At 49.9% G+C, this 27,179-nt stretch overlaps 1 protein-coding gene across 7 annotated transcripts in view, besides 6 other annotated features; it reads left to right on the top strand.

The window, feature by feature from the left end:
* BACE1 (beta-secretase 1) overlaps positions 4,184–27,179 on the top strand; it is a 30,559-nt gene continuing 7,563 nt past the window's right edge. The window contains exons 1-4 of one of the 7 annotated variants that reach the window (NM_138973.4): positions 4,184–4,905; positions 23,479–23,567; positions 25,093–25,177; positions 26,507–26,569. In NM_138973.4, the coding sequence (NP_620429.1) occupies positions 4,645–4,905; positions 23,479–23,567; positions 25,093–25,177; positions 26,507–26,569 (498 nt within the window). In that variant the 5' untranslated portion in view covers positions 4,184–4,644. Of the gene's footprint in view, positions 4,906–20,717; positions 20,793–23,478; positions 23,568–24,866; positions 24,943–25,092; positions 25,310–26,431; positions 26,570–27,179 lie in introns of those variants that run through there. The other 6 variants (NM_138971.4, NM_138972.4, NM_012104.6 and 3 more) reach the window with 6 other exon arrangements.
* Positions 4,456–4,545: a silencer, noted in NCBI's record as "silent region_3937". NCBI's record gives its function as "represses an Ori minimal core promoter by ATAC-STARR-seq in GM12878 lymphoblastoid cells {active_cell/tissue: GM12878}" and the evidence as "EXISTENCE:reporter gene assay evidence [ECO:0000049][PMID:35858748]".
* Positions 4,636–4,745: a silencer, noted in NCBI's record as "silent region_3936". NCBI's record gives its function as "represses an Ori minimal core promoter by ATAC-STARR-seq in GM12878 lymphoblastoid cells {active_cell/tissue: GM12878}" and the evidence as "EXISTENCE:reporter gene assay evidence [ECO:0000049][PMID:35858748]".
* Positions 5,274–5,795: an enhancer, noted in NCBI's record as "H3K4me1 hESC enhancer chr11:117185361-117185882 (GRCh37/hg19 assembly coordinates)". NCBI's record gives its function as "activates a minimal SCP1, AML or CMV promoter by ChIP-STARR-seq in naive H9 embryonic stem cells {active_cell/tissue: H9 hESC(naive)}" and the evidence as "EXISTENCE:reporter gene assay evidence [ECO:0000049][PMID:30033119]".
* Positions 5,796–6,318: an enhancer, noted in NCBI's record as "H3K4me1 hESC enhancer chr11:117184838-117185360 (GRCh37/hg19 assembly coordinates)". NCBI's record gives its function as "activates a minimal SCP1, AML or CMV promoter by ChIP-STARR-seq in naive H9 embryonic stem cells {active_cell/tissue: H9 hESC(naive)}" and the evidence as "EXISTENCE:reporter gene assay evidence [ECO:0000049][PMID:30033119]".
* Positions 19,688–20,249: an enhancer, noted in NCBI's record as "H3K27ac-H3K4me1 hESC enhancer chr11:117170907-117171468 (GRCh37/hg19 assembly coordinates)". NCBI's record gives its function as "activates a minimal SCP1, AML or CMV promoter by ChIP-STARR-seq in naive H9 embryonic stem cells {active_cell/tissue: H9 hESC(naive)}" and the evidence as "EXISTENCE:reporter gene assay evidence [ECO:0000049][PMID:30033119]".
* Positions 20,250–20,811: an enhancer, noted in NCBI's record as "H3K27ac-H3K4me1 hESC enhancer chr11:117170345-117170906 (GRCh37/hg19 assembly coordinates)". NCBI's record gives its function as "activates a minimal SCP1, AML or CMV promoter by ChIP-STARR-seq in naive H9 embryonic stem cells {active_cell/tissue: H9 hESC(naive)}" and the evidence as "EXISTENCE:reporter gene assay evidence [ECO:0000049][PMID:30033119]".

The following is a 27,179-nucleotide window of genomic DNA, read 5'->3' as shown; positions in this document are numbered from 1 at the left end:
AGCCAGACATGGTGGCACACGCCTGTAATCCCAGCTACTCAGGAGGCTGAGGCAGAGAATTGCTTGAACCTGGGAGGTGGAGGTTTTAGTGAGCCAAGACTGTGCCACTGCACTCCAGCCTGGAAGGCCAGTTTATAAGAAGCTATCCCATTGTTTTTAATGGTTACTTAGGATTTCATTGAACAAATGTCTTGTTCCCTATTTAATTTTTTTTTTTTTTTTGAGACCGATTCTCACTGTCACCCGACTGGAGGGCAGTGGCGCAATCTCGGCTCACTGCAACCTCTATCTCCCAGGTTCAAGCGATTCTCCTGCCTCAACCTCCCAAGTAGCTGGGATTACAGGCATGTGCCATCACACCTAGCTAAATTTTTTTTTTTGAGACAGTCTTGCTCTGTCACCCAGGCTGGAGTGCAGTGGTGCAATCTCGGCTCACTGCAACCTCCACCTCCCGGGTTCAAGCGATTCTCCTGCCTCAGCCTCCCAAGTAGCTGTGATTATGGGCACCCACCACCATGCCTGGCTAATTTTTTTGTATTTTTAGTAGAGACAGGATTTCACCATGTTGGCCAGGCTGGTCTCAAACTCCTGACCTCAGGTGATCCACCCACCTCGGCCTCCCAAAGTGCTAGGATTACAGGCTTGATGATTATTTTTGGTTTTGCTTAAAGAGATGGGGTCTTGCTCTGTCTCCAGGCTGGTCTTGAACTCCTGGCCACAAGCGATCCTCCCACCTCAGACTCCCAAGTGGCTTGGATTACAGGCGTGAACTATCACACCCAGCTTCATTTGTTTTGAATCCAAGGTTTTGCCATAGTACACACTGCTGAAATATTGTTGTTTTTGTTGGAAAGGGTCCTAGAAATGCCATTGCCCAAAGAGTTTGCATTTTTAACATATTAATAGGCATTGCAAATTACTCTCCAAAAATGGAATAATTTACAGTCCAAACAATACCTTCACCAATACCAAATGTTACCAATCTGAGAGGAGACGAAAGAAAGAAAAAGGAACAAAGAATCTACTGTTTTACTTTGTGTTCTTTCAACTATTAACGAAGTTAAGCTTTTTTCAAGGTTTTTTATGTTTATCATCCATTTGAATTTCCTCTGTGAATTAACTGTTCACATTCTTTGTTCATTTTTCTTTTTCTTTTCTTTTTTGTGTTTTGTTGTTGTTTTTCCTCACTCTTTCCCCTTACCCTTTGTTCATTTTTCTATCAGGTTGTTTGGGATTTATATTGATTTGTAGAAGCTCTTTGCACATTATAAACATTAGCCCTTTGTCTCTATTGTGTGATAAATGTTGTTTCTTAATCTGTGACTGATCTTTTAACTTTGTAAATGTCAGTTTTCTCAGTAGTTGCAACAGTAATAATCCTAATAGCTGACCTTTATTGAGCACTTACAATATGCTGGACACCATTCTAAATGCTTTACATGGATTGTCTCATCGAATTCTTACCTTTTGAGGTTTGAACTATTAATATCATTATCTCCATTTTACAAATGATAAAATCAAGTCTCAAAAAGGGGCCAGGCAAGTTGGCTCACGCCTGTAATCTCATCACTTTGGGAGGCTGAGGCAGGCAGATAACTTGAGGTAAGGAGTTAGAGACCAGCCTGGCTAACATGGTGAATTCCCGTCTCCACTAAAAATACAAAAATTAGCTGGGCGTGCTGGCGCGTGCCCGTAGTCCCAGCTACTTGGGAGGCTGAGGCAGGAGAATCGCTTGAGGAGGCAGAGGTTTCAGTGAGCTGAGATCATGCCACTGCATTCCAGCCTGGGTGACAGAGGGAGACTCCGTCTCAAAAAAAAAAAAAATTAGCCAGGCATGGTGGTGTGCGCTTGTAATCCCAGCTACTCAGGAGGCTGAGGCACAAGAATCGCTTGAACCCAGGAGGAGGAGGTTGCAGTGAGCTGAGATGAAGCCACTGCACTCCAGCCTGGGTGATAAAGTGAGACTGTTTCAAAAAAAAAAAAAAGGACTCAAAAAGTAAGTAACCAGAGTGGGCTCTCCCAGTTACTAATTGAACCAGAATTAGAACACTGGTGGTATTGGAATACTTCTGATTCTACAGAAGTTTTAAATATTTAAGTCATCAAATCCATCCAGTTTTTGGGTTTGTTTACCTTCTAGGGTTTGTTAGGGAGGTCTTCTTCAATATAAGATCATGAAAATATTCTATTTTTCCTGTAGTTTTATTTTAATGTTAAATTCTTTAATCTATCTGGAGTTTATTTTCAGAGGAATGAAATTGGATTTGGTTTTTTTTCCTTCCAAATGGGCTGCCAGACGTCCCAACAACAGTTTTTGAATAATGCGTCCATTTTCCTCTAATACGAATGCCATCTCTATCATATCTACAATTCCCATAGATACATTTCTCTATTTTGATTTCGATTTTTTTAACTTGTGTCTAATCATCTTATTGATTAGGGTTTTCTATCCATATCATATAATCTGCAACTAATGATTCCTTTGCTTTCCAACATATATAACACTTTTTCCATTTTCTTGTCTTTTGAGTCAATCAGACCGGTCTGAACCGTGTAGGATAAGAGTAGAGATAATGATCGGCCGGGCGCGGTGGCTCACGCCTGTAATCCCAGCACTTTGGGAGGCCGAGGCGGGAGGATCACGAGGTCAGGAGATCGAGACCATCTTGGCTAACACGGTGAAACCCCGTCTCTACTAAAAATACAAAAAATTAGCGGGGCGTGGTTGCAGGCGCCTGTAGTCCCAGCTATTCGGGAGGCTGAGGCAGGAGAATAGCCTGAACCCGGGAGGCAGAGCTTGCAGTGAGCTGAGATCCCACCACTGCACTCCAGCCTGGGCGACAAAGCGAGACGCCTTCTCAAAAAAAAAAAAAAAAAGAGTAGAGATAATGATCTTTCCTTTCCAAAGCCTGCCTTTAATGGGAGTAACGTAGCCTGTTATTACTACATTTGTTGTTGTTGTCGTTATCTTGTTTAAAAAGTTTCCTGGCTGGGTACAGTGGTCCATGCCTATAATCCCAGCATTTTGGGAGGCCGACGTGGGCGGATCACTTGAGGCCAGGAGTTCGAGACCAGCCTGGCCAACATGGTGAAATCCCATCTCTACTAAAAATACAAAAATTAGCTGGGTATGGTGGCGCATGCTTGTAATCCCAGCTACTCAGAGGCTGAGGCATGAGAACTGCTTGAACCCGGGAGGCGGAGGTTGCAGACTTGAGACCATGCCACTGCACTCCAGCCTGGGTGACAGAGCAAGTCTCCTTTTCAAAAGAAAAATGAAGATTCCCTTTCATTTTTTAAAAAAATTAAATCAGAGTAACTGCTGAATTTTATCAATGGCTTTCCACATTTGATAAACAATATATTGTTAAAACCATACCGGCTTTTCTCCTTTAAGCTATTAGAACTCTAACGCTTTTGGTTCAAGGCTTTAAGCTCTTACCAGTTAATATAGAGATACTTTTCGGAGTGTTAACACTTTAAAGCTATCAACAGCCATTTCTCCTCAGTCTGGCTGATGGTGCAGAAAATCAGAGGAGCCATAAGGATTCAAGTAGAGCCTCAAGGGCACAAACAGGTTCAGATGGGAGAAGACCCACTGGCTCTTACCTGCCCGCAGATCGCAGGCGCAGGAGAAAATAAGACAACTGCACTTTCCCCTTTTGGACCCTGCTCCGCTGGTTTGCAGCCTGGAAAAACTCTTCCTCCCCTTTCATCCTGCTCCCTCAATCTCTGCTCGTGAAAATCCTACCCATTTTTAAACGCTCAAATTAAATACCACCTTCTCCCACTGAGTCTTCCCAGATCCCCTAGATGTCCCTCCAAATCCCTACTCCTTAATGCCACATCGTATAGTGTGAAACCCCACCGCGGCAGGAATCACTTAACTGTCCCGTGTAGAATCACCGTTTATTTCTCTCTGTATCTCCAGCGCCTGGCAGTGTGCCTGGCATACAGTGGGTGCTCCTTCCATGCTGAAAGAAAGACTGACAGACGGGAGGTGTGCCCCTCTCCATCCGTCTGGCCCTTCCCGCCAGGGCCTTGCAGGGCGGACTCCACCTCGGCAGAGGGCATCCCAGACCCCTCTCCAGCCCCGGAAGCCGGATTGCCTGCCATGGGAAGACTACACTTCCCAGCGATCCCAGGGAAAAGCGAAAACCTTTTGGCTTTGACAGCCGCCGCCACAAGTCTTTCCGCCTCCCCAGCCCGCCCGGGAGCTGCGAGCCGCGAGCTGGATTATGGTGGCCTGAGCAGCCAACGCAGCCGCAGGAGCCCGGAGCCCTTGCCCCTGCCCGCGCCGCCGCCCGCCGGGGGGACCAGGGAAGCCGCCACCGGCCCGCCATGCCCGCCCCTCCCAGCCCCGCCGGGAGCCCGCGCCCGCTGCCCAGGCTGGCCGCCGCCGTGCCGATGTAGCGGGCTCCGGATCCCAGCCTCTCCCCTGCTCCCGTGCTCTGCGGATCTCCCCTGACCGCTCTCCACAGCCCGGACCCGGGGGCTGGCCCAGGGCCCTGCAGGCCCTGGCGTCCTGATGCCCCCAAGCTCCCTCTCCTGAGAAGCCACCAGCACCACCCAGACTTGGGGGCAGGCGCCAGGGACGGACGTGGGCCAGTGCGAGCCCAGAGGGCCCGAAGGCCGGGGCCCACCATGGCCCAAGCCCTGCCCTGGCTCCTGCTGTGGATGGGCGCGGGAGTGCTGCCTGCCCACGGCACCCAGCACGGCATCCGGCTGCCCCTGCGCAGCGGCCTGGGGGGCGCCCCCCTGGGGCTGCGGCTGCCCCGGGAGACCGACGAAGAGCCCGAGGAGCCCGGCCGGAGGGGCAGCTTTGTGGAGATGGTGGACAACCTGAGGGGCAAGTCGGGGCAGGGCTACTACGTGGAGATGACCGTGGGCAGCCCCCCGCAGACGGTAAGGTGGTCAGGCCAGCCCTTAGCCCTCCGCCTGCATGAGCAGAGGGGAGACAGGATGGGGATGCCTCAAGCTAGCCCCTGCTCAAATGGGCTGGTGGGGACAGCAGGAGGGACCCCTCCCCAGCCATTCCCCGGGGGTCACGTGGTTGTTGGCAGAAGTGTTCCCAAGCTCCCCATTCCCTCCTCGTCTCCCCTGGCTGCCTAGTTCCCCTTGCTCCTCATCTGACACATACGCCGTCTGGAAGGATTTGAGGCAAGACAGACACATCAGCTGGGGACCCTGACCTGGAGGAAGGGTCCGCCACAGGGGCACTATAACAGGTGTCAGCCCCCTCTGACAGTGGCCCAGTCCGAGTCTCCCAAATCCCACCACTCTAGAGGTTGGCCACCCAACCTTGTCCCCTCCTCTGATTCCCACCATTGTTCCCAGTACCTCCAGGACCAAGGAATCCTGGCAGCAGTTGAATAAGCACCTTGCTCCCACCATCTGGGCTGCCACTGGTACGGCAAAGTGAGGTTGTCGAGGCCCCCCTGACTGCACTCCGCCCGGAAGCCCTGGACAGGCTCCTGCCGTCCCCTCCTCCTCCCCTTCTCCCTCTCGCGGTCTACACTCCGGCCCCTCCCCCACCCCACACCTCCCCAGGCCAGAGGGGAACTGAACTGAGCCTGGTGAAAGAACAAATGGTAGGAAAGGAGCCAGAGCTCCCTTTTAAGAGTGGGACTCCTTCCATGGCGGGGGAGAGGGGAGTTACAGAGAAAACACTGTTATGCCCTCCCCATCCTTCCTGACAATCTCCAAGGTACCTTCAAGGTGGCTGGTGGAGGTGGCACCCTCTGCACCTCTGTGGGTGAGCAGCCCTCCATGTGGGGTGCTGTGGCTGACCTCTGTGTGCATCTGCCGCCTCTGTGGGGCAGTCCGGGCCCGGGCAGCCCTGTGGTTCTGTGTATGCTGGTGCGTGTCACCTTGAATCTGATCCTGCACATCTGTGAGCCACCTCCGGATCTGTGTCTGGGAAGTCTGTCCTTGGGAGGGTCTGTGAAGGTGGGAGTGTGTTTGGGGTGGGCGGAGGGGACAGCCACACTTTCCTGAACTTCTCAGACAGCTGGATCTGGGAGAAACACAAACCCCCACCTCCCAATTACTTTACAGAAGCCAGCCTTCCTAGGTGCGTGCTCCCCAGCCCTACCTCTCAGCTAGTCGAAAGCCTGGTCTTCCCCACTTTCTCATCCTCTTTCCTGTGCACCATAACTTCCCCAGCAGTAGTCTCCAGTGGGAATTTGGGAGGGCAGGACAGAAGCCAAATCCAGGCCCTGAGCAAACAGAACGCTAGATGATATCGTCAGGGAGCAGCAGGTATGCAGAGACCTGGGACCTACTCCTGTTTCTGCGACTGACATGCTGTGCACACTGTGCATGGACCCCATGGCACGATGCAGGACGGGGCTGCAGAACCCACACAAGCTTTGAGGTCAGACAGTCCACGAATCCCAGCTCTACCACCCACAGCTTTTCCTCTTCTCAGCTGTGTGGCCTTGGGCAAATTGCATAACCTCTCTGAAACTACTGTCATATCTTTAAAATGAGTAGGAAATGAGACCTCCTTTGCAAGGTAATTGTGAGGATTAAGTTGTGAGGGTTAATTGTTCTAGGTGCTTTCACCCAGAACAATACACCAGCATATAAAACTGACCTCCAACAAATATGAAGTCACTTTATCCTTGTCTGGCCTGTTCTGCCTCTTCAATTCTATGCAATGAGGCATAAAAACTCGGATGTCCTGGGCCTCCACGTTTTACATGTATAAAACTGGGGTATCCTGTAATCCCAGCACTTTGGGGGGCCAAGGTGGGCAGATCACCTGAGGTCAGGAGTTCGAGACCAGCTTGGCTAACATAGCAAAACCCTGTTTCTACTAAAAATACAAAAATAATTCGCCGGGCCTGGTGGCATGCACCTGTAATCCCAGCTACTCAGGAGGCTGAGGCAGGAGAATCGCTTGAACCTGGGAGGCGGAGGTTGCAGTGAGACAAGATCGCACCATTGCCCTCCAGCCTGGGCAACAAGAGCAAAACTCTGTCTCAGAAAAAATAAAAACAAAAACAAAAACGGGGTATCCATTGCTGTACTTCCCTGATCCCCTGAAATAATGCATACATCCTGCAGCCCAGTACTTAGCAGAGAGTAATTGCTCAATAAATGTCAGTTCCTTCCTCGTTCCTTTCTAGAAGAGGAAAGTGGGCTTAAAGTTCAACACCAGTCCAGGAAGCTAGTGCCAGGGAGCCCACAACTAAAGCAACTGTGTGGCTTGCACTATGATTTCTAACTAAGCCTGCATCAGCCAGTCTCTGCTCTCTGGTGGCTTGGACTCTCTCCCCATCTGTCTGTAAGAAGGACGCCCTTTCTTCCTACCTGGCGCGGCTGTTGTAAGTGCCAAATGAGAACTTGGATGGCATTGTATTCTGAACAAGAAAAAGTAAAATTTGGGGAGCACTTTCTCTGTGCTAGGCAATTAATTGGTGGTGCCTGGGGGCTGATCCACAAAGAGACAAGAAGACATGTTTTCTGCCCACATAGAGTTACAGTGGAAGTGAAAGGGCGGAAGTGACGAGTACAAGGTCATCCATGCAGATATACTCAAAGCGAGGTCGGCAAACCCTCATTGGAGTCAGCTAAAAATGTAAATTCCCTGGCCCCATCCCTGACCTCTAGAGACAGGATCTCTGACAGTGGGGCCCCGTAGTTTGTGCCTCAAATTTGAGAACCATTTATGGCTGGACGCGGTGGCTCACGCCTGTAATCCCAACACTTTGGGAGGCTGAGGCCGGCGGATCACCTGAGGTCAGGAGTTCGCGACCAGCCTGGCCAACGTGGTGAAACCCCATCTCTACGAAAAATGCAAAAATTATCTGGGCATGGTGGCAGGCGCCTATAATCCCAGCTACTCGGGAGGCTGAGGTAGGAGAATTGCTTGAACCCAGGAGACAGAGGTTGCAGTGAGCCGAGATCACGCCATTGCACTCCAGCCTGGGTGACAGAGCGAGACTCCGTCTCAAAAAAAAAAAGAAAAGAGAATAATGTATTTATAGGAGTGCAGAGAGTGAGTGCCACAGGTGTTCAGAAAGTGATAAACTCATCCAGGAAAGCCGCACCAGGGACATGTGCTCTGAGCATGGTCTTGAAGGATGGACAGGAGTGGCAGGCTATTCCCAGGGGGCAGATGGCACCATACTATCCCACTGTACTGTAATTGCACGTTACACGTATGTCCATGTCTGCTCCTTCCCACCCTACCCCCTTAAAATTGGGAGAGTCCACAGTGAATGAGAGGATGAGTTATGGATGTTAGGGCTTAAGCATGGTTGTTTAGGAGACAATAGAGAGCCAGTCCTGTTAATATTACAGGTTTAGGCTAAGACCAGATAAGTTTGGGTAAATAAAATAGAGCCAAATAGCCATAAAGCTTAAATGTGAGACTATAAGGTTTGGACTTTGGCCTTCAGATATAAGGGAAAATCTGAATTTATTGGGGCAGGGGAATGACATGAAGAAAGCAATCTTTCAGGAAGAGACATCTGAATTTTAAAAAGAGTGGGGGCTGTGTGTGGTGGCTCACGCCTGTAATCCCAGCACTTTGGGAGGCCAAGGCAGGTGGATCACAAGGTCAGGAGTTCGAGACCAACCTGGCCAATATGGTGAAACCCCGTCTCTACTAAAAATACAAAAATTAGCTGGGTGTGGTGGCGCGTGCCTGTAGTTCCAGCTACTCGGGAGGCAGAGGCAGAAGAATCTCTTGAACCCGGGAGGCAGAGGTTGCAGTGAGCTGAGATTGCGCCACTGCACTCCAGCCTGGGTGACAGAGCAAGACTCCGTCTCAAAAAATAAATAAAAATAAAAAGAGTAGGACTGAAAGACACAGGCACAGGGGGCTGTCACAACAGTCCAGGTGTGAGGCCCTCTATGACAAGGAGGGCATGAGGCTGCAATAAGATGGAAAGAGAAAGGAAGGGCAGGATGCAGAGAACGTGCCAGGGCAGGTGGGAAGGATTTGGTGACATTGGTGTGAAGGGAAAGGAAGAGGGCATCAAAGATGGTTTTGAGATTCTGATCTGGGGTGAACTGGAGGATAACAAGACTGTGGGAATAGGAAAGGTGGCAGGAGGGGATGGCTTATAGTACTTGTATACAAATTTATTTGCTTGTTTATTAATTACAGGGTCTCTCTCTGTTGCCCAGGCTGGAGTACAGGGGCACAATCGTAACTCCTGGGCTCAAGTGATCCTCCTGCCTCAGGCTCCTGAGTAACTTGGATTACAGGCACATGCCACCAGCCCCAGCTGATTTTTTCAAATTGTCTCACTATGTTGCCCAGGCTGGTCTCCAACTTCTGGGCTCAAGTGATACTTCCACCTTAGCCTCCTATTAGTTTTTCCCTTACAGCAATTCCTGCAATATATAAAAGGTCTTTACTTCAGTGAGCTGTGATTGCACCACTGCAATCTCCAGCTTGTCAGAGGATGACAGAGACCCTGTCTCCAAAAAAGAAAAAAAAAAAAAAAGGTCTTTATCACTCACAGTGTCTAGCAGAAGAAATGGGGTTGAAAGGTTAAACCACTGGCCAGGTAGAAGGCCAGTAAGTTAAGACCTGTTTCATCCTTGTTCTTCCTACTGTGCCATTTGTCTTGGGGAAGAAGAAGTTATCACAAGCATCCCTCTTCCATTCTCCCATTACACCTGCTTATATCTCCATTACTACACTTGTAATGTATTACAACTGTTTTTGTGTTTGTTTCTCTCATAAAACTTCAAGCTCTGGCCAGGCGCAGTGGCTCACGCCTGTAATCCCAGCACTTTGGGAGGCTGAGGCAGGAGGATCATCTGAGGCCAGGAGTTCAAGACCAGCCTGACCAATATGGTGAAACCCTGTCTCTACTAAAAATACAAAAATTAGCCAGGCGTGGTGGCAGGCGCTTGTAATCCCAGCTGCTCGGGAGGCTGAGACAGGAGAATTGCTTGAACCCAGGAGGCAGAGGTTGCAGTGAGCTGAGATTGCACCACTGCACTCCAGAGCGAGACTCTGTCTCAAACAAACAAAACTTCAAGCTCTTAAGGACAATGTCTTTTTAATTTTATTTATTTATTTTGCAGTATCCTCTCTTTGTGTTATAATAATCTATAACAATACCAAGCTCAGAACATACACCTAAAAAACATTGAGTGAATGAATACATAAGCTGCAAGCCTCTAAACAGAACTGTTGACAGGCAGTTGTAAATGCAGAACTGTAGCTCTTAGAGAAAGTATTTTTATTCTTTTAAACGAAAGGGCCAGGTTCAGCAGCTCACGCCTGTAATCCCAGCACTCAGGTGAGGCCGAGGCGGGTGGATCACCTGAGGCTGGGAATTGGAGACCAGCCTGCCCAACATGGTGAAACCCCATCTCTACTAAAAATTCAAAAATTAGCCAGGTGTGGTGCTGCATGCCTGTAAACCCAGCTACTCAGGAGGCTGAGGCAGGAGAATCGCTTGAGCCCGTGAGGTGGAGGTTGCAGTGAGCCGAGATTGCGCCACTGCACTCCAGCCTGGGTGACAGAGTGAGACCCTGTCTCTAAATAAATAATAAATAAATAAAAGGATGTTATCTCATTTTGATATTATGAGCATCACTGACCAAACATAGGATAATAAGGTAACTGTTAGGAGTGAAATTTGGTGATAGTCAATTCAGTTTAACAGATATTTGTTGAGTACTTGCCTACTGTGTGTAGAAGAGAAAAATAATGCCATAGTCTTAGCCCTTGGACAGCTCACAATCTGATGTGAGACATAGACATAATACCTAAATATTACACAAAACCAAATGCATTTGGTACAAATAGTGAAACAGTGGATCTTGGAAGTGCACAGAGAGAAGCAGCTACTTCTGACATGGTATTAGGCACAGCTTGCTGGAAAAGGAGGGTTTTGTTTTGTTTTTGTTTTTGAGAGGGAGTCTCGCCCAGGGATCCACCCGCCTCAGCCTCCCAAAGTGCTGGGATTATAGGCGTGAGCCACCGCGCCCAGCCAAAACGGAGGTATTTGAAAGAGGAGAAAGCTTTGCAATATGGAGAGTGGTGAGGAGGAGCACTTCATGAAGAAAAGCGTGAACTGTGGTGAGAAGCCAGAAGGCATGGTGGGGATGCCATGGGGCTGACAGGACTTTGGGTTTTATTCTGCAAACAGTAAGGAATCCTTGTAGGTATACGAGAAGAGGGATGATATCGTCTAATTTTAGTTCCAGGAAAACAGCTTCAGTGTGCAGAATAACTTGGAGAGTCTAGCATCATGACTCTAGACATGCAAACAAGGATCTCAGGATACGGGGGCCTGAAAGAGGATGGTGGCAGTGAGGGTAGAAAGGAGGAATCAGCATTCATCCATCGTTTAACCAGTTATTCTCTGCGCTTGATGAGATGTATGGGGTGAGAGAGAGGGAAGAGGAGATGATGGCTTTATTTAACCTCTCTGACTTTTTGTCAGGGAACAAAGCAACAGGGGAAAGCTTTTGAAGCACAATATAGTTTTTTTGTTTGTTTGTTTGTTTTGAGATGGAGTTTCGCTGTGTCACCCAGGCTGGAGTGCAGTGGCGCGATCTCAGCTCACTGCAACCTCCACCTCCTGGTTCAAGTGATTCTCCTGCCTCAGCTTCTCAAGTAGCTGGGATTACAGGTGCCCGCCACCACCCCCAGCTATTTTTTTTGGTATTTTTAGTAGAGATGGGGGTTTCACCATGTTGGCCAGGCTGGTTTCAAACTCCTGACCTCAAGTGACCGCCCGCCTCAGCCTCCCAAAGTCTTAGGATTACAGGTATGAGCCACCGCACCCAGCCAGGAAGTACAATATAGTTTACCAAAGTTTATGTTTATTATTCTGCTTTAATTATAAGGGATAGGTATTAGCATATCTATTTCAGGGATAAGGAAACTGAGACCCAGAGAGACTAAGTGTCTTGTCCAAAGTGATTCTGTTAAGAAGAACAGAGTAGGGGTTCAAATACCGGGGCCTTTCCTTCCTGTGTTCTACGATCTGGGACATGCCTTTGAGATGCTAGTGGGTCATCCTCGTGGAAGTATTCAGCCACCAGCTGACAGTGGGAATCTGGAGAGAAGTTAGAACTGGACAGGCAGACAGGACTCATCCACAGAGAGGCCAAGTTAAAAAATAGACTTGTTCTTTGAGGGAACAGAGAGGGAAAGGAGAAAAATGATTAGGAAAAGAATATTAGGTATAGACAAGGGAGCAAGAGAAAATGATCAGAGCAGTAGAAAACTATGAGGGCTCAGAGTCTCAGAAACCAAGAAGGACCAGGTGGTTTTTCTTTTTTTCCTCTCCTTCCCTGCTTGGCAGGGTTCTGTAAAGGGACCTCAGCGGTGAGGGAGAAGGCTGGGAGCAGTCAACACTCTAGATCCCCGCCCTTCCTGTCACCAAGCCATCCCCATCCCCCCGCCCCAAATCTCCTGAGCATCCCAGGATAACTTTGCTTTTATTGTTTTTATACAGTGGACTTCTGGGTTATATTTTTTTAAAAAAGAGTTTTTGCAATAAAAAGGTTGAAAACCATCGAGCTCAAAGAACCACCCTCCAAATTAGACAAAGCCAGCAAGACCCCGGCTCCATAAGTTGCCTACCCAGTCCCTGCCACCACAACTGGCTTTCCTGGATTGGGCCTCGGGTTGCACACAAGCCCTTGCTGGAGCACTCATCCTGTCATTCCAAACCTCTCCTCTACTCCCCAGACCAGTAAAGAAGAGTTTAGCTGGGAGTGAGGGGGCATTGAGAAAGACTGTGCTCTCTCTAAAAGCACTAAGGTGGAAGGTCAGGAACCCTTCTTGGGCCTCTCCAATAAAGGGCTGGGCAGAAAATTCCAGTTGAAAATCCAGAAAGAGGCCAGGCACAGTGGCTCACACCTGTAATCCCAGCACTTTGGGAGGCCGAGGCAGGCAGATCACCTGAGGTCAGGAGTTCAAGACCAGCATGGCCAACGTGGTGAAACCCTGTCTCTACCAAAAATACAAAAATTAGCTGGGCATGGTGGCACGTGCCTGTAATCCCAGCTAATCAGGAGGCTGAGGCAGGAGAATCGCTTGAACCCAGGAGGCGGAGGTTGCAGTGAGCCAACATCATGCCACTGCACTCCAGCCTGGGCGACAGGGGGAAGACTCCATCTCAAAAAAAGAAAATCCAGGAAGAGAAACACCTCCCAGGGAAGCCCCCATACCTAATGACTAACTTCTGTCTCTCCTGGGAGCCTTCTCTTTCAGGTGCCTGGGCAGGGGAGAGTTCTGGGAAGGAACCAGAACATTTTCTGAGTTCTGGAGCTGCCCTGAGATTCTCCTGGCAGGATGCGACAGCACCTGAGTACATCCTTAGTACCGCAGCCTTGGGTACTATAGCCAGGTGTTTCCCAAAATAGGAGAGCTGGGCTGTGCTGGGGAGAATGAGGAAATCAGCAGAACTGGGGGGATTCTGACGTGGGGGAGCTGGGACTCCTAGGTCCTTTTCCTCAAAGCAAACTGGCCAAGCTCTGCCTCCTCCCATGCCAACTTATCCTCTGTCACCATATTTCCTGAGCTGCTGTCACTCTGGGGCCACCCTCTCTGCTGCGCACTGTAGGCTGGGTGTCCTCTTGCTTGGTCTTTCAAGGTCAGTGAATCTCATCACTTAGCCTTTTTTCTTTTTTTTTCTTGAGACAGGGTCTCACTCTGTTGCCCAGGCTGGAGTGCGGTGGCGCGATCTCGGCTCCCTGCAACCTCCACCTCCTGGGTTCAAGCAATTCTCCAGCGTCGGCCTGCCAAGTAGCTAGGACTACGGGCACGCACAACCACACCCGGCTAATTTATATATATATTTTGGTAGAGACGGGGTTTCACTATGTGGCCAGAATGGTCTCAAACTCCTTGACCTCAAGTGATCCGCCCACCTCAGCCTCCCAAAGTGCTGGGACTACAGGCGTGAGTCACTGTGCCTGGCCCTACCACTTACTCTTTTCCAAGGCCTGTGGAGGTTTTGACAGGTAGGACAAGGAGTGAGTTCTAGCATCTCCCAATGGCTTGAATAAACAAGCCCATGTGCTGAGCGTGACACAGGTGCCATGGTCAGCTTCATTTTCAACTGAGGACAGAGCAAGAGAAGATTCAAGCCACTGTAACCTGTGGGTGGGACAAGGTTAAATAACAGGAAGGACTTACTGTCTGACCATGAAAAACAGGTGGCGAATAGCTGCTGTGATACCTTGTGGAGCATGGGTTTTCCAGGTGGGTTCCGCAGAGGCTAAAGGTGCTGAAGAGATGCCTCAAGAGCCAGCACAGGCAGGGGAGGGAAGCAGAGGAAATCAAACCTCCCCTTCAAACAGAACACCTCTGTCTTTTTCTCTCTTGTACACTAGGATCCTGCATACAATTGGAAAAGGGGAAAAGGATTCCGCTGCTTTATTTTTTATTTTTATTTATTTATTTATTTTTGAGACGGAGTCTCACTCTGTCGCCCAGGCTGGAGTGCAGTGGTGCGATCTGGGCTCACTGCAAGCTCCGCCTCCTGGGTTCACGCCATTCTCCTGCTTCAGCCTCCCAAGTAGCTGGGACTACAGGCGCCTGCCATCACGCCCGGCTAATTTTTTGTATTTTTTAGTGGAGACGGGGTTTCACCGTGTTAGCCAGGATGGTCTCGATCTCCTGACTTTGTGATCCGTCCGCCTCGGCCTCCCAAAGTGCTGGGATTACAGGCGTGAGCCACTGCGCGCGGCTGATTCTGCTGCTTTAGAAAAAAAAAAGTTTGAAAATTACTGTCATAAACTCTTGGACCATCGACATCCATCATTCTATTGGAGTAGGAGGCACTGGCAAATATTAGTTGAGCCGGGTTACAGGCTGCGGAGAAATGGGGCATCCCATCCAAAGGGGGAAAGGTATACTAGATAAGGTTTGGGGCGACCCAGCCACATTGGGACTCCTTGAAAAACCAGCCAGAGGTGGGGTAAGTGGCGCCAGGGAGCCTGCTTGCTCCCAGGTACCAATGGCCAGCTACAGCCAGGAGAGGCAAGTGGAAGGCAGAGGAACTAGCTGGGAAAAGGAGTCCATTTGCACAGGGCTGGCTGATTTGTTCAAGGTGGGAGGAACCTGGACAGGACCCAGTCGCTGGACTCTGAGACAGGAGCTGTGTGCTCTGTTGGCCATAAGCCCCTCCCCGCTGCTGACTTTAGGCTCCTCTTGTCCTTCCTTGCCCCCTTTTCTCAGCCTTGGGTAAGCTCAGGTCTGGAAATCACTTAGGAAAAGCAGATGAAGCTGACTCACAAGGTTCTGGGACTAAGGAGGCCTGGAGTCACTATAACTGCTCTAAGAACCACAGGACCCTGGGTGGATATTCACCAACATGGTGAAACCCCGTCTGTACTAAAAATGCAAAAATTAGCTGGGCGTAGTGGCGGGTGCCTGTAATCCCAGCTACTCGGGAGGCTGAGGCAGGAGCCAAGATTGCACCACTGCACTACAGCCTGGGTGACAGAGTGAGAACCCACCTCAAAAAAAAAAAAAAAAGAATAGGAAGAGTCCATAGGGTCATAGGAATTAACTGCAGGGAATGAGGCAGTTGCTGTCAATTAAAAAAAAAATCATTACGGAGCATCTACTCAGGGCTAGGTAACAATTAGGTAATAAGCAATACAAATGCTCCCTACCCTTGGTGGAGCTCATAGTCTGTGGGACAGGCAGACATTAAATACATGATTAAAAGTGTGAGTGGTAGACAAAGAAGCACAGGTGCTACTGAGGATTTGCAAGAGGAAGAACCTAATCTTATCTGGGCGTCAGGACAAGACCTTTGAAGAAAGGATATTTAAAGTGTAATGTGAACATGAGAACAGGGAAAGAATGCTGCAGACAAATATATGCAAAGATGCACAAGTGAGAGATCATCGTGCTTTCGGGAAACTTCACAAGAAGCCTGGTGAGGAAAGGGAACTGGCAAGAGATGTTCACGGGGTTGACCTATGGTTGGTGCCTTCAGGGTCAAGGACCCCAGGATTTAATTCAGATAGTTTGTGTCAGTTATCTGATGCTGGGTAACAGACTACTCCAAAATTTAGTGGCCCAAACAAGAATCATTTTTTCAGGATTCCGTGTGTTGGCTTGTAATTTTTCTACAGATCTTACCTGGGCTCACCCATGTGGCTGCATTCAGCTGGTACGTCAGCTGGGGGCTGGACTAACCCAGGCCTGTTGGGCCTCTGGTTCTGTGAAGTCTTTCATTTGGAAGGAGGCAAGACTGAGCTACTTCACACAGAATCTGAGGACAGCGTTCCAAGAGGGCAATTCCCAATGCACAAGTGCTTATCAAGCCTCTCCTTGCATCATTTGCTGATATCCTGTTGCCCACAGCCAGTCACATGGCTAAGCCCAGAATCACTGTCAGAGGGGATCCCACAAGGGCATGTATGGGGGGCAGGGTGGTTCATTAGTATAACAATCTATCACATACTTCCTCTCCAAATGGGAGAGACGGGAAGGTCAAGGAGATGAAAGACCACACTTAAGGCTTGGTCAGAACCAACGGATTCTTGTCCTAGCTTTGTGGCATGTGTAAGATGGGTGAAGTTGCTTACTCACTCTAGGTCTCACTTTCCTTCTCTGTAAAATGGAAGGCTTCTAAATCTCAACTTTAGCTGAAAGCCTTGTTATGCAAGAATATAGGCGTCTTCCCTCTTTAGCCATGAGGCCCACACAGAAGAAAATAGACTTCCTATTGAATAGGAAGAAGAATTGGAGCTAGAGCCCCCACTCCAGAGGCTTTTGCAAAAGTGCTATGACCTTGGGGTAGTACCAATAAAGGGTGTGGATTCTTAATAATGAGAGATGGTTCAGAATTGGAAAGAGTCTCCATCTCTCCAGGCCACTAAACAGATGCCCCTTGAAGGCGTTTTTCATCCAGAAGAATCTGAGCTATCGCTGTCTGCTGGTGAGAGCTGAGGCCAAGAAAGGTGGGATTTGGGGAACAAAGAGCTTACCCTAAGCTTGCCAGCTCCATACCTGCCTCATCACCCAAGATCTACTGCTGAGAACTGCAGGGGAACATGCAGAGTGAAACCTGGGCAGGTGTGCCTTTCCCTGTGGGGCTTGTTAGCACTTCCCATGAAGCTGCCTTCCCTCTGAGGCCCCCAGGGACACGTTTGTTTGTTAAATGATTGACATTGACCTAGTTCTGACCCCAGGCTGCAGCTCCCTGGGCATCTGTCTCCTGGGTCTGCCTGACCCCAGGGGACAAAGACGATGACTCCCGGATCACAGGCTGCGTAAATACAGGCAGGTGTCATGCCAGGGGCCAGGTGAGAGGAAGGCAGGTCTAAGCTAGAGCCACACCTATAACCTAAAACACCCATGGTTTGGGAGCCACTGAGAGATCCCTCCATCCCCCACCACCCAAAAAACAGGGTAGATTAGCTCTTTCACCTTTTCTTTCCTTCAACCATTCATTCATTCAAGAAACATTATTGCTAGGCACCGTGATACCTTAGTAGAACACTAAAGACATTTTAATAGTTTTAAATTCGATATGAGGGGAGGTGAGATTCAGTGTATAATTACAGAGTGACAAGTTCTATGGAAGATTTTATTTTATTTTGAGACAAGGTATCACTCTGTCACCCAGGCTGGAGTGCAATGGCACGATCTCAGCTCACTGCAACCTCCGCCTTCTGGGTTCAAGTGATTCTCGTGCTTCAGCCTCCCAAGTAGCTGGGATTACAGGTGTGCGCCACCATGCCTGGCTCATTTTTTCGTGTTTTTAATAGAGACAGAGTTTCACCATGTTGGCCAGGCTGGTCTTGAACTCTTGACTTCAAATGATCTGCCCGCCTTGGCCTCCCAAATTGTTGGGATTACAGGCGTGAGCCACCGCGCCTGGCCTGGAAGCATTTAAGTAAGAAAATATAACCTGGTCTCTCTCCCTAAGGAAGTCCCTTGAGCTCAGATGGCAGGATGTGTAGGGGATAAGTAGATAAACCTGCAAGTGGAGAGGAGGATGGTCCAGGCAGAGTGAAGCTGATACAACAGCCTTTGCGAGAGGGACCATGGCTGGTGTGGGGAACTGAGATATCTGAGGTCAGTGTGGCTGGCAGCAGAGCTTTATGGGTTTTTTGGTTGGTTTTGTTTTGTTTTGTTTTGTTTTGTTTTTGAGACAGAATCTTGCTCTGTTGCCCAGACGGGAGTGCAGTGGCGCCATCTCATCTCACTGCAATCTCCACCTTCCAGGTTCAAACGATTCTCCTGCCTCAGCCTTCCGAGTCGCTGGGATTACAGGTGCCTGCCACCACACCCAGCTAATTTTTGTATTTTTGTAGAGATGGGGTTTCACCATGTTGCCCAGGCTGGTCTGGAACTCCTGACCTCAGGTGATCCAACCACCTCAGCCTCCCAAAGTGCTGGGATTACAGGCGTGAGCCACCGCACCCGGCCAGCTTTACGTTTTTAATAGCAAAGGAAAACTGTTTACATAGGAGGGTTAACAGTCAAATTTGCACTTTGAAAAGATCACTCTGGCTGCAGTGCACAAAACAGATTGGACAGGTCAAGAGAAGATGTGCCAAAAGCAGCTGGGAAACTACTGTGATATTCCAGGGTGAGCTGATGATAGCTTGGCCTAGGGACAGCAAAAGAAATAAGGAATGAATACATTCAAGAGACTTGTAAGGAGCTTAATTGGACAGGACTTGTTGATGCACTGGATAGAGAGGTGAAGAAGAGGAAGGTGTTAGGATATGTCTGATACTGCTGACCTACAGAACAGATGGGTGATGCTGCCATCCACTAGTATAAGGAACACTGGAAGGCAGCCACCAGATGGAAAGGACTGCGTTGGGTCAGCTTGGGACATCCTGAATTTGACCTTTTTTTTTTTTTTGAGACGGTCTTGTTCTGTCACCCAGGCTGGAGTGCAGTGGCACAATCATGGTTCACTGCAACCTCAAACTCCTGGGCTCAAGCGATCCTTTCACCTCAGCCTCCTGAGTAGCAGGGACCACTGGTGCCCATCACCATGCCTGGCTAATTTTAAAAATTTTGTTTGTAGACATGGAGGTGTGTGGGAGGGGGTCTCACTATGTTGTCCAGGCTGGTCTCGAACTCCTGGCCTCAAGTGATCCTCTCGCCTTGGCCTCCCAAAGTGCTGGGATTACAGGTGTCAGCCCCTGCACCCAGCCCTTGAGGTATCTTTGAGGCACTTGGGTGCGTGCGTCGGGAGCTCAAAGGAGAGGAAAAAGCTGGAGTTAGGAGCTTAGACATCACCAGGATCTAGGTAGATGGCTTAGTGGGAGAGGGTCGTTAGAGAGGAAGAGGGCCAAAGCTCAAGCCTTGAGAAAGGAGCCTGCCAAGGAGACAGAGAACACAGGACCTGAGAAGATGAAGGCTGACTTGAAAAACACCTTCAGTGTTTGGTGACATGAAGTCACCGGTAACTGTAGTAAGGGCTGTTTTATAGTGGAGGAATGGAGGCGAAACCCAGTTTTAGAATGGGTTGAGGAATGCGTGGGAGGTGAAGAAATGGAGACAGCCTGGCTGAGCGCTTTGGTTGTGAAGGGAGAGGAGAGAGGGGACTGGAGGCGGATGTGAGATTAAGGAAGTTTTTTGTTTTGTTTTTGTTTTAATGAAGAGATGAGCATCTGTAAATGTCAACAGGAAGAATTCAGATTTGGTGGAGATGGGGCCAGGGTGGGGTGGCTGTATCTATGTGAGGGAAAAGGGCCAAGGAAGAGGTGGGTGCCTGGGAAGGGAGGAGGGACTTGACTCCCCAGCACAGGTGGCAGCTCATGAGGAGCCTGGAAGGGGCAGCCGCAGGCAGGTTGGTGTGGTTGGCTGTGGGAGATGAGGGCAGTCTCATCCCCTGGCCCAGTTCAGTGACCCGAGAGGGGAACCCAGCTGCTGGGGTTCGGCGGCTGCAGCCCCTCCACCGCTGCCTCTGCCCAGGCCGCCCTGAACTGCCCTGTTTCATAATGAGCAAGCAGTGCCTCAGCCTTGCCTCGGGCCCGTCCTGTTAAGAGCCCCCCCCATCCCCCCGCTTGGAATGGAGCAGGGGTGGGGAAAAGGCTGCCGGGACTGGCCAGGGCTCCCATTCGAAGCGCTGAAGGACAGGACCAGAATTACTTCTCTCGGGCGGGAGCACACCGCAGAGGGCAGACGGGTCGACATTTGCTCGGGAGAGAAGCCCAACTGTTTATTCTGGTTTTCTTTTGTGTGTGTGTGTAAGGTGGAGAGGGGAGGCAGAGAGCAGTGGGGACCTGAAATCGTAGTATTGGGGTGGGTGAGAGGGATGGGAGTGGAGGGGGACGTTCCTTCCTGGGCTCGGCCTGGCCCCCTTTGGGGTGGCAGGGGGAAAGGCTGGGGCTGGAAGGACAGCAAGAGCGCCCAGGGCCTCAGGGCTGGGGTGGGAGTACCCTGCAGAGAGCTCCCTCCTGCCTCGCAGGAGAGGAAGGGGGAGGCAGGGAGGGGCAGGGACAGCAGGAGCCCCCAGGTCAAAGCTCCACTCCAGTGTAAAGCAGTAGCCATATTTGCTTAGAACTTGCCGGATGTTCCCTCCCTTGCACAGGCCACAGAGACTTGTTGTGGAGGAGATCCTCTTTCTTTGGGGTCCAGTGATAGCAGGGAGCCCTGTAATATGAGGCCAGCCCCCCATGCTGGGAGCTGAGTCCTGAGAATGGGGAAGAGGGTTCGTGGGGAGAGGGTGGGTGAAGAAGCCTTCTTAATCATTAACCTGGTTGATTTCATCTGAACTGCTGAGCCTCCCAGCTCTATTGATTTTCTCTGAAAGCACAGCATCTGGAGCTGGTGGCTGCCCAGAGACCGGGGAGAGAGACCACGGGTAGAGGTAGGGGAAGAGGGGCAGGGAGGGGAATGGAAACCAGGCCAGGAGTGGGGGGCTGGGAAGGAGGGAGGAGACAAGGTCTGAGGGCCGGGAGATTGTCAGAGGAGTCTTTGGGGATGTGAGGAGGCCAGGAGGTCTAAGCAGGCACTGGGGGAGGGCACAGTCAGCACAGCCACAGAGGCACCACGGAGAGCAGGAAGGAGCCAGAGAGGATCTGGCAGAGAGGACGAAACTGAAGTCCAGAGAAGCACAGTGATCTGCTCAAGGTGACAGGGTCAGGGCCTGCACCAAAACTGAGGTCAGTTGATTTCACTGGACTGAGGAGAGAAGATACAGAAATGAAGGCCCCTGGGGCAGAGGAGAACCTGAGGTGATGGAAAGTCGGCAAGAGGCGAGATGCAACTTACAAATTACCATTTTTCTGAGGGTGGGGCCTTTCCTTTTTTTGCCTGTGAGGATATAGTAGACTTTCAAAAAATGGCTCTGGTCTGACTGAAGGTGGGGTCAGGCCATCAAAGGAGGAAGAAAGGGCCAAGGAGAAGTGATGCTAGAGGCCGGGCATGGTAGCTCACGCCTCAGCACTTTGGGAGGCCGAGGCAGGTGGATCACCTGAGGTCAGGAGTTCGAGACCAGCCTGGCCAACGTGGTGAAACCTCGTCTCTACTAAAAATACAAAAATTAGCCCTGCGTGGTAGCGCACACTTGTAATCCCAGCTACTCAGGAGACTGAGACAGGAGAATCACTTGAACCCAGGAGGCGGAGATGGCAGTGAGCCGAGATCGCGCCATTGCACTCCAGCCTGGGTAACAAGAGCGAAACTCCATCTCAAAAAAAAGAAGTGATGCTAGAAAGAGCTGGACAGAAGGGAACACCAAGACACCTGTCCATCTTCACTTAGCCAAATCCAGGGCCCTGACAAGATGGGTTTTCACCAGGACATTTTATGGGGCTCCTGGCTCCCCACTATTTCTGACAGTAGGATTCCTAGGTCTGTGTCACCTGTGAGACAGAAGGGGAGCCACATTCTGGTGGCAGGGACAGAACCACACGCATGGACACTGATGTGCCATCCTGGTCCCCACAGGTCCCCTGACCAGTACAGCTCCTAGAATAGGTCTTCTCTGAGCTGGAGGGGATAAGCCAGACTGCTTCCTGGGAGAATTGAAAAGGAGCAGGGGGCCCTGAAGACAGAATCAGTCAGGTACACAGTGAGCAGGGGTGATGTGACGGTAGAGAGACATGGGAACAGAGACAGCACACACACCACATAGCTCTGAGATGACGCACAAAATGTTATGACTCCATAGACTGAAGCAGACACAGCGTTTCTTTTCTTTTCTTTTTTTTTTTGAGACGGAGTGTTGCTCTCGTCCAGGCCGGAGTGCAGTGGTGTAATTTCGGCTCACTGCAACCTCCGCCTCCTGGGTTCAAGTGATTCTCCTGCCTCAGCCTCCCAAGTAGCTGGGATTATAGGCGTGCGTCACCACACCCGGCTAATCTTTGTATTTTTAGTAGAGATGGGATTTTACTACATTCACCAGGCTGGTCTTGAACTCCTGACCTCAAGTGATCCACCCGCCTTAGCCTCTCAAAGTGTTGGGATTACAGTTGTGAGCCACTGTGCTGGCCTCAGACACAGCATTTCTAAGGCCATGTTGAGGGTGCCAAAGGAAACCAAGATATTTTACCCCAGAATATACTACTTTGACGTATTTTGAGTCGGCTGTCAGAGGGCCAGCACACAGAAGTGGCCCTGCAAATCTGGCTTTTGAGGGAGATTTGCATCTGCAGAGAATCTGCATTGATGCAACCTGGCTTTCTCTGAGGCCCTCCCTGGTCCAAATCTAGGAAAGATTAACTGAAAGTCTGACATGTTTAAAGGTCTGAAAGACACATACATCACCTGTTTTCTCTGAGGGGTGTTACCTATGAGGTTTCATTCATATAAAAAGACCACTTTTACTGGCCTGGCCTCCGTTTATCCCTCCCATAACTATTTTTGCCAAAGTCCAAGTCCCTTTTTTTTTTGTTGTTGAGACAGGGTCTCTGTCGCCCAGGCTGGAGTGCAGTGGCATGGTCTCAGTTCACTGCAACCTCCACCTCCCAGGGTCAAGTGAGTCTCATGCCTCAGCCTCCTGAGTAGCTGGGACTACAGGCATGTGCCACCATGTCCAGCTAATTTTTGTATTTTTAGTAGAGACAGAGTTTCGTCCTGTTGGCCAGGCTGGTCTCAAACTCCTCACCTCAGGTGATCCACCTGCCTCAGCCTCCCATAGTGCTGGGATTACAGGGGTAAGCCACTGCACCTTGCCCAAGCTCCCATTCTTTCTGTAACCTCAAGATGGTATAAAATCATCAACCATCTGGCTATCTCTTTGACTTCCTATATTTTTTTGACTCCCTTGCATATTAGTTCTTCTACTAATCTGCCTTTTTTCAGTTGGTTTTTCAGCAGACCTGCAGAGGGCACAGGGGAAGTGTTCCTTTGGCCCCTGCAGCACCACAGGACCCCAGGTCCTGTCTGTGGTCGTGGTGGTAACGGGTGCCAGCCTGGACCAGTCCTGCATCGTGGAGCTTCACTCTGGACATTCTAAGGGGCAGACTGTGGCTGGGGCGTGAGGGATAATAAAGGTGGTGTGACCGAAGCCTCCTGTCTATACTGTCTTTTCTCTCCCCTTTCTCTGACAGCTCAACATCCTGGTGGATACAGGCAGCAGTAACTTTGCAGTGGGTGCTGCCCCCCACCCCTTCCTGCATCGCTACTACCAGAGGCAGCTGTGAGTCCTGGGGAGAGCCCGGGGGAAGTACCTTTTCCAAGGATCCAGGGCTAAGAAGGGTCAGGGGAGGGGTACAGAGAGAAAGAGTTGATCCTCAGATTTTCTTCTTGCCAGGGAAGGGGAAGGGCGAAAAAAAGACAGTGACCAGGAGAGACAGGGTGAAGTGGGTGGTGAGAGGAGCTATACCATGGGAAAGGGTGAATTGAGAGGTAGCCAGGAAGTGCTTCAGTGCTGAGACAGGGCAGCCTCCTGTGGGAGGGAAAGGAAGAAGAGCCCATAGCTCACAGAACAATCTTAGGGGGCCCATTTTCTCTGCCTGAATGGGGAGACGAAAACCCCACATCCCCTCGGTGTCTCTCAGTTCTCTAACACCAGCTAAGTCTAAGCTGAACAGGCCTCAGTGACGGCTCCCCTTGCTGTGTTCTTACCCAGGGGCCACTCTAGGTGGCTTTGCATAGTCCAAGGACATGAAGGAAAGGGTCTTTCATAAACCCCTCTGCCTAGACCAGTATCAGAACTGAAAGCTGAAATATCTCCTCCATGCACCACCCAGGGTGCCACCAGTTGGATTCAGCTTACTGGTGAAAGGGGGGTTGAAGAGGACTGGTGAAAGTGGGGGACTGGTGAAAGGGGGGTTGAAGTGGGCTTTAAGATAAGAGGCAGTGAGGGGTAATCTGGAAGCCCCCTTAGCATAAAAGCAGGAAGAAGAAGGGATGAGAGGACACCAATATCTGAGACATCAGTGTGTGCAAACGTGAGTAGAGGCTTAAATCCTATCCTTGGACTTGTAGGCAGCTGCAAAACGCACCTTCCCTGTTTCCTCTAATGTCCCAATCTAAAAGAAGCAGTCAGGGAGGAGGGTGCAGGTAGGATCGATGAAAGGGCATTCACTCCAGTTCCTCGTTCCAGTTCCATCACTGCCCCCACCACACACAGAAGCCCTGGTTAGTGGTGTGATTAAACACAGGTGGGGCTGCCACATGTTGAGCACGTTTCACAGAAGTGGTGTGTAATACCAACCTGCTTTTCTGAGATGCTTGAACAAACCCCTTCTCTAGAACTTGCTGTAGAGGTTCCACATTCACCCTGCCTGGCACTTTCTCTACCACTCGGATGGTACCACTAGGTTCCAAGGCAGTAAGAGAGTCAATGGTTCCTTTTCTCGGGGAGCTTGACGGAGCCAGAGGGCGGAAGAGATGCCCACTAGCTGTCCCTGCAGCAGCAGCAGCAGCAGGCACAATGCACAAAGCCCAGGCTTGTTCTTCACAGGGCCTGAGCTCAAGATCTAGGAATATGAGCAATAGATAGGAGAGCAAGCCTCACCAATGGTTCCCTTCATCTATCTGCAAGCCCACTTTACACTCTGTTCTGGGTGGTGAGTCTAGGGATGTTTTGCTGAGCAGCCTGAAAGCAGACTCTAGGATTCCCCTGAGATGAGATAAGGTGGTGTTTGGGAGTAAGTTTAACTTAGATCCTTATACCAGTTGTGGTTATGCATCCACAGATCTCTGCCTTCTTTCCACAGGTCCAGCACATACCGGGACCTCCGGAAGGGTGTGTATGTGCCCTACACCCAGGGCAAGTGGGAAGGGGAGCTGGGCACCGACCTGGTAAGCATCCCCCATGGCCCCAACGTCACTGTGCGTGCCAACATTGCTGCCATCACTGAATCAGACAAGTTCTTCATCAACGGCTCCAACTGGGAAGGCATCCTGGGGCTGGCCTATGCTGAGATTGCCAGGGTGAGAGGAACAGGGCTTGGCCCTACACACTCTATGCACACTGCACTATACAGAGAAGGAATTAGGAGAGAGAAGGGGAATTAGCAGAAGGAGGGCAACAATCAGTTTAAAGGATTATTTAACAGGGGTATAGGGTGGCAGTCTAAATTTTAGCCCTATAGAGGGCAGAACCATAGTGACAGAAGCTGTGATAGGTACAAGAATAGGCTGTGCTTTCTATGTACTCTTAAGATCTTTTTTTTTTTGAGACGGAGTTTCACTCTTGTTGCCCAAGCTGGAGTGCAATGGTGCAATCTTGGCTCACTGCAACCTCCACCTCCTCGGTTCAAGCGATTTTCCTGCCTCAGCCTCCCGAGTAGCTGGGATTATAGGCGCCCACCATGACGCCCGGCTAATTTTTTCTATTTTTAGTAGAAATGGGGTTTCATCATGTTAGCCAGGCTGGTCTCGAACTCCTGACCGCAGGTGATCCGCTCACCTCGGCCTTCCTAAGTGCTGGGATTACAGGCATGAACCACCGCGACCAGCCACTCTAAGATCTTTAATAAAGGCCCCCATAAATTTGAAGCAGGTTAGGCATAGGGGGATCAAAGATATATGAACCTGGCCAGGCGTGGTGGCTCACACCTGTAATCCCAGCACTTTGGGAGGCCAAGGCGAGCGGATGACCTGAGGTCAGAAGTTCAAGACCAGCCTGACCAACATGGTGAAACCCCATCTACCCCATCTCTACTGAAAACACAGAAATTAGCCGGGCATGTTGGCGCATGCCTATAATCCCAGCTACTCAGGAGGCTGAGGCACGAGAATCACTTGAACCCAGGAGGTGAAGGTTGCAGTGAGCCGAGATCGTAACATTGCACTCCAGCTTGGGCAACAAGAGCAAAACTCTGTCTCAAAAAAAAAAAAAAGATCTATGAATCTGTGAACCTATCAATACTGTCCTGTTTGCATTGCCAGGGCTCCTGCTAACCCTTCCTCTGCCAAATCTCAGTGCCTTAAGATGGTCTTTCCCAAGGAGCATCCCCCAAGCCTTCAAATTTGCCTTCCAGTTTAGACAGGAAGCTGGCCTCTGCCTTTAGGGCCGTATGAGGACTCACTCCTTGTCTCTTTCTGCCAAAGCCTGACGACTCCCTGGAGCCTTTCTTTGACTCTCTGGTAAAGCAGACCCACGTTCCCAACCTCTTCTCCCTGCAGCTTTGTGGTGCTGGCTTCCCCCTCAACCAGTCTGAAGTGCTGGCCTCTGTCGGAGGGAGCATGGTGAGTAGGTCCTCAGAGAGGGGAGGTCCTGGCATTGAGGGAGAGATGGGTGCCATCCTCTCCCCTTCCTGAAAGCTACACCACAGTTTTGGCTCCGATACTTAGAATCAGGAGGAACCTCTTTATATTCCCTACCCTTACTTTATTTTTCCATTCTTTTCTTTTTTGCGTTATTCCAGAAAGGAATCAAGGCACCTATGGTAAACTTGGAAAGGAAGGCAATTAGGAAAATTTCAAAGGAAATGAAAATAAGACCTGTTGAATTAAAATTATTCAGTTTGATGGTCAGAAGGCAGAGATATAAGAAGTTTGTCTATTTATTAATTAATTAGAACAATGGTGAATGGTTCTCCAATAAGCAGAGAAAATAAAACTTATAATATAAACAAATAACCATTCATTCAACATTTATTGTGGCAGTTTAGATTTAAATAACTTTATATCAAGGGCTGTATGATTCTGAAACAAATAATTAAAAATCCCGGAAAGTCTTTTCTCCTGAACACATTTAAGAAACTAGAAATCACTTTGGGTATGATTTGTTTAGAAGCAGGAAGATGAAAAGGGTAGCCTGTAGAAGACCTTGCCACCCCAAGAAATCACTGATCTT

Source organism: Homo sapiens, chromosome 11 (assembly GCF_000001405.40).
Source record: "Homo sapiens chromosome 11, GRCh38.p14 Primary Assembly".
Taxonomy (NCBI): domain Eukaryota; kingdom Metazoa; phylum Chordata; class Mammalia; order Primates; family Hominidae; genus Homo; species Homo sapiens.
Note: the sequence above shows the minus strand (reverse complement) of the source record. Positions and strands in the feature narration are given on the sequence as shown.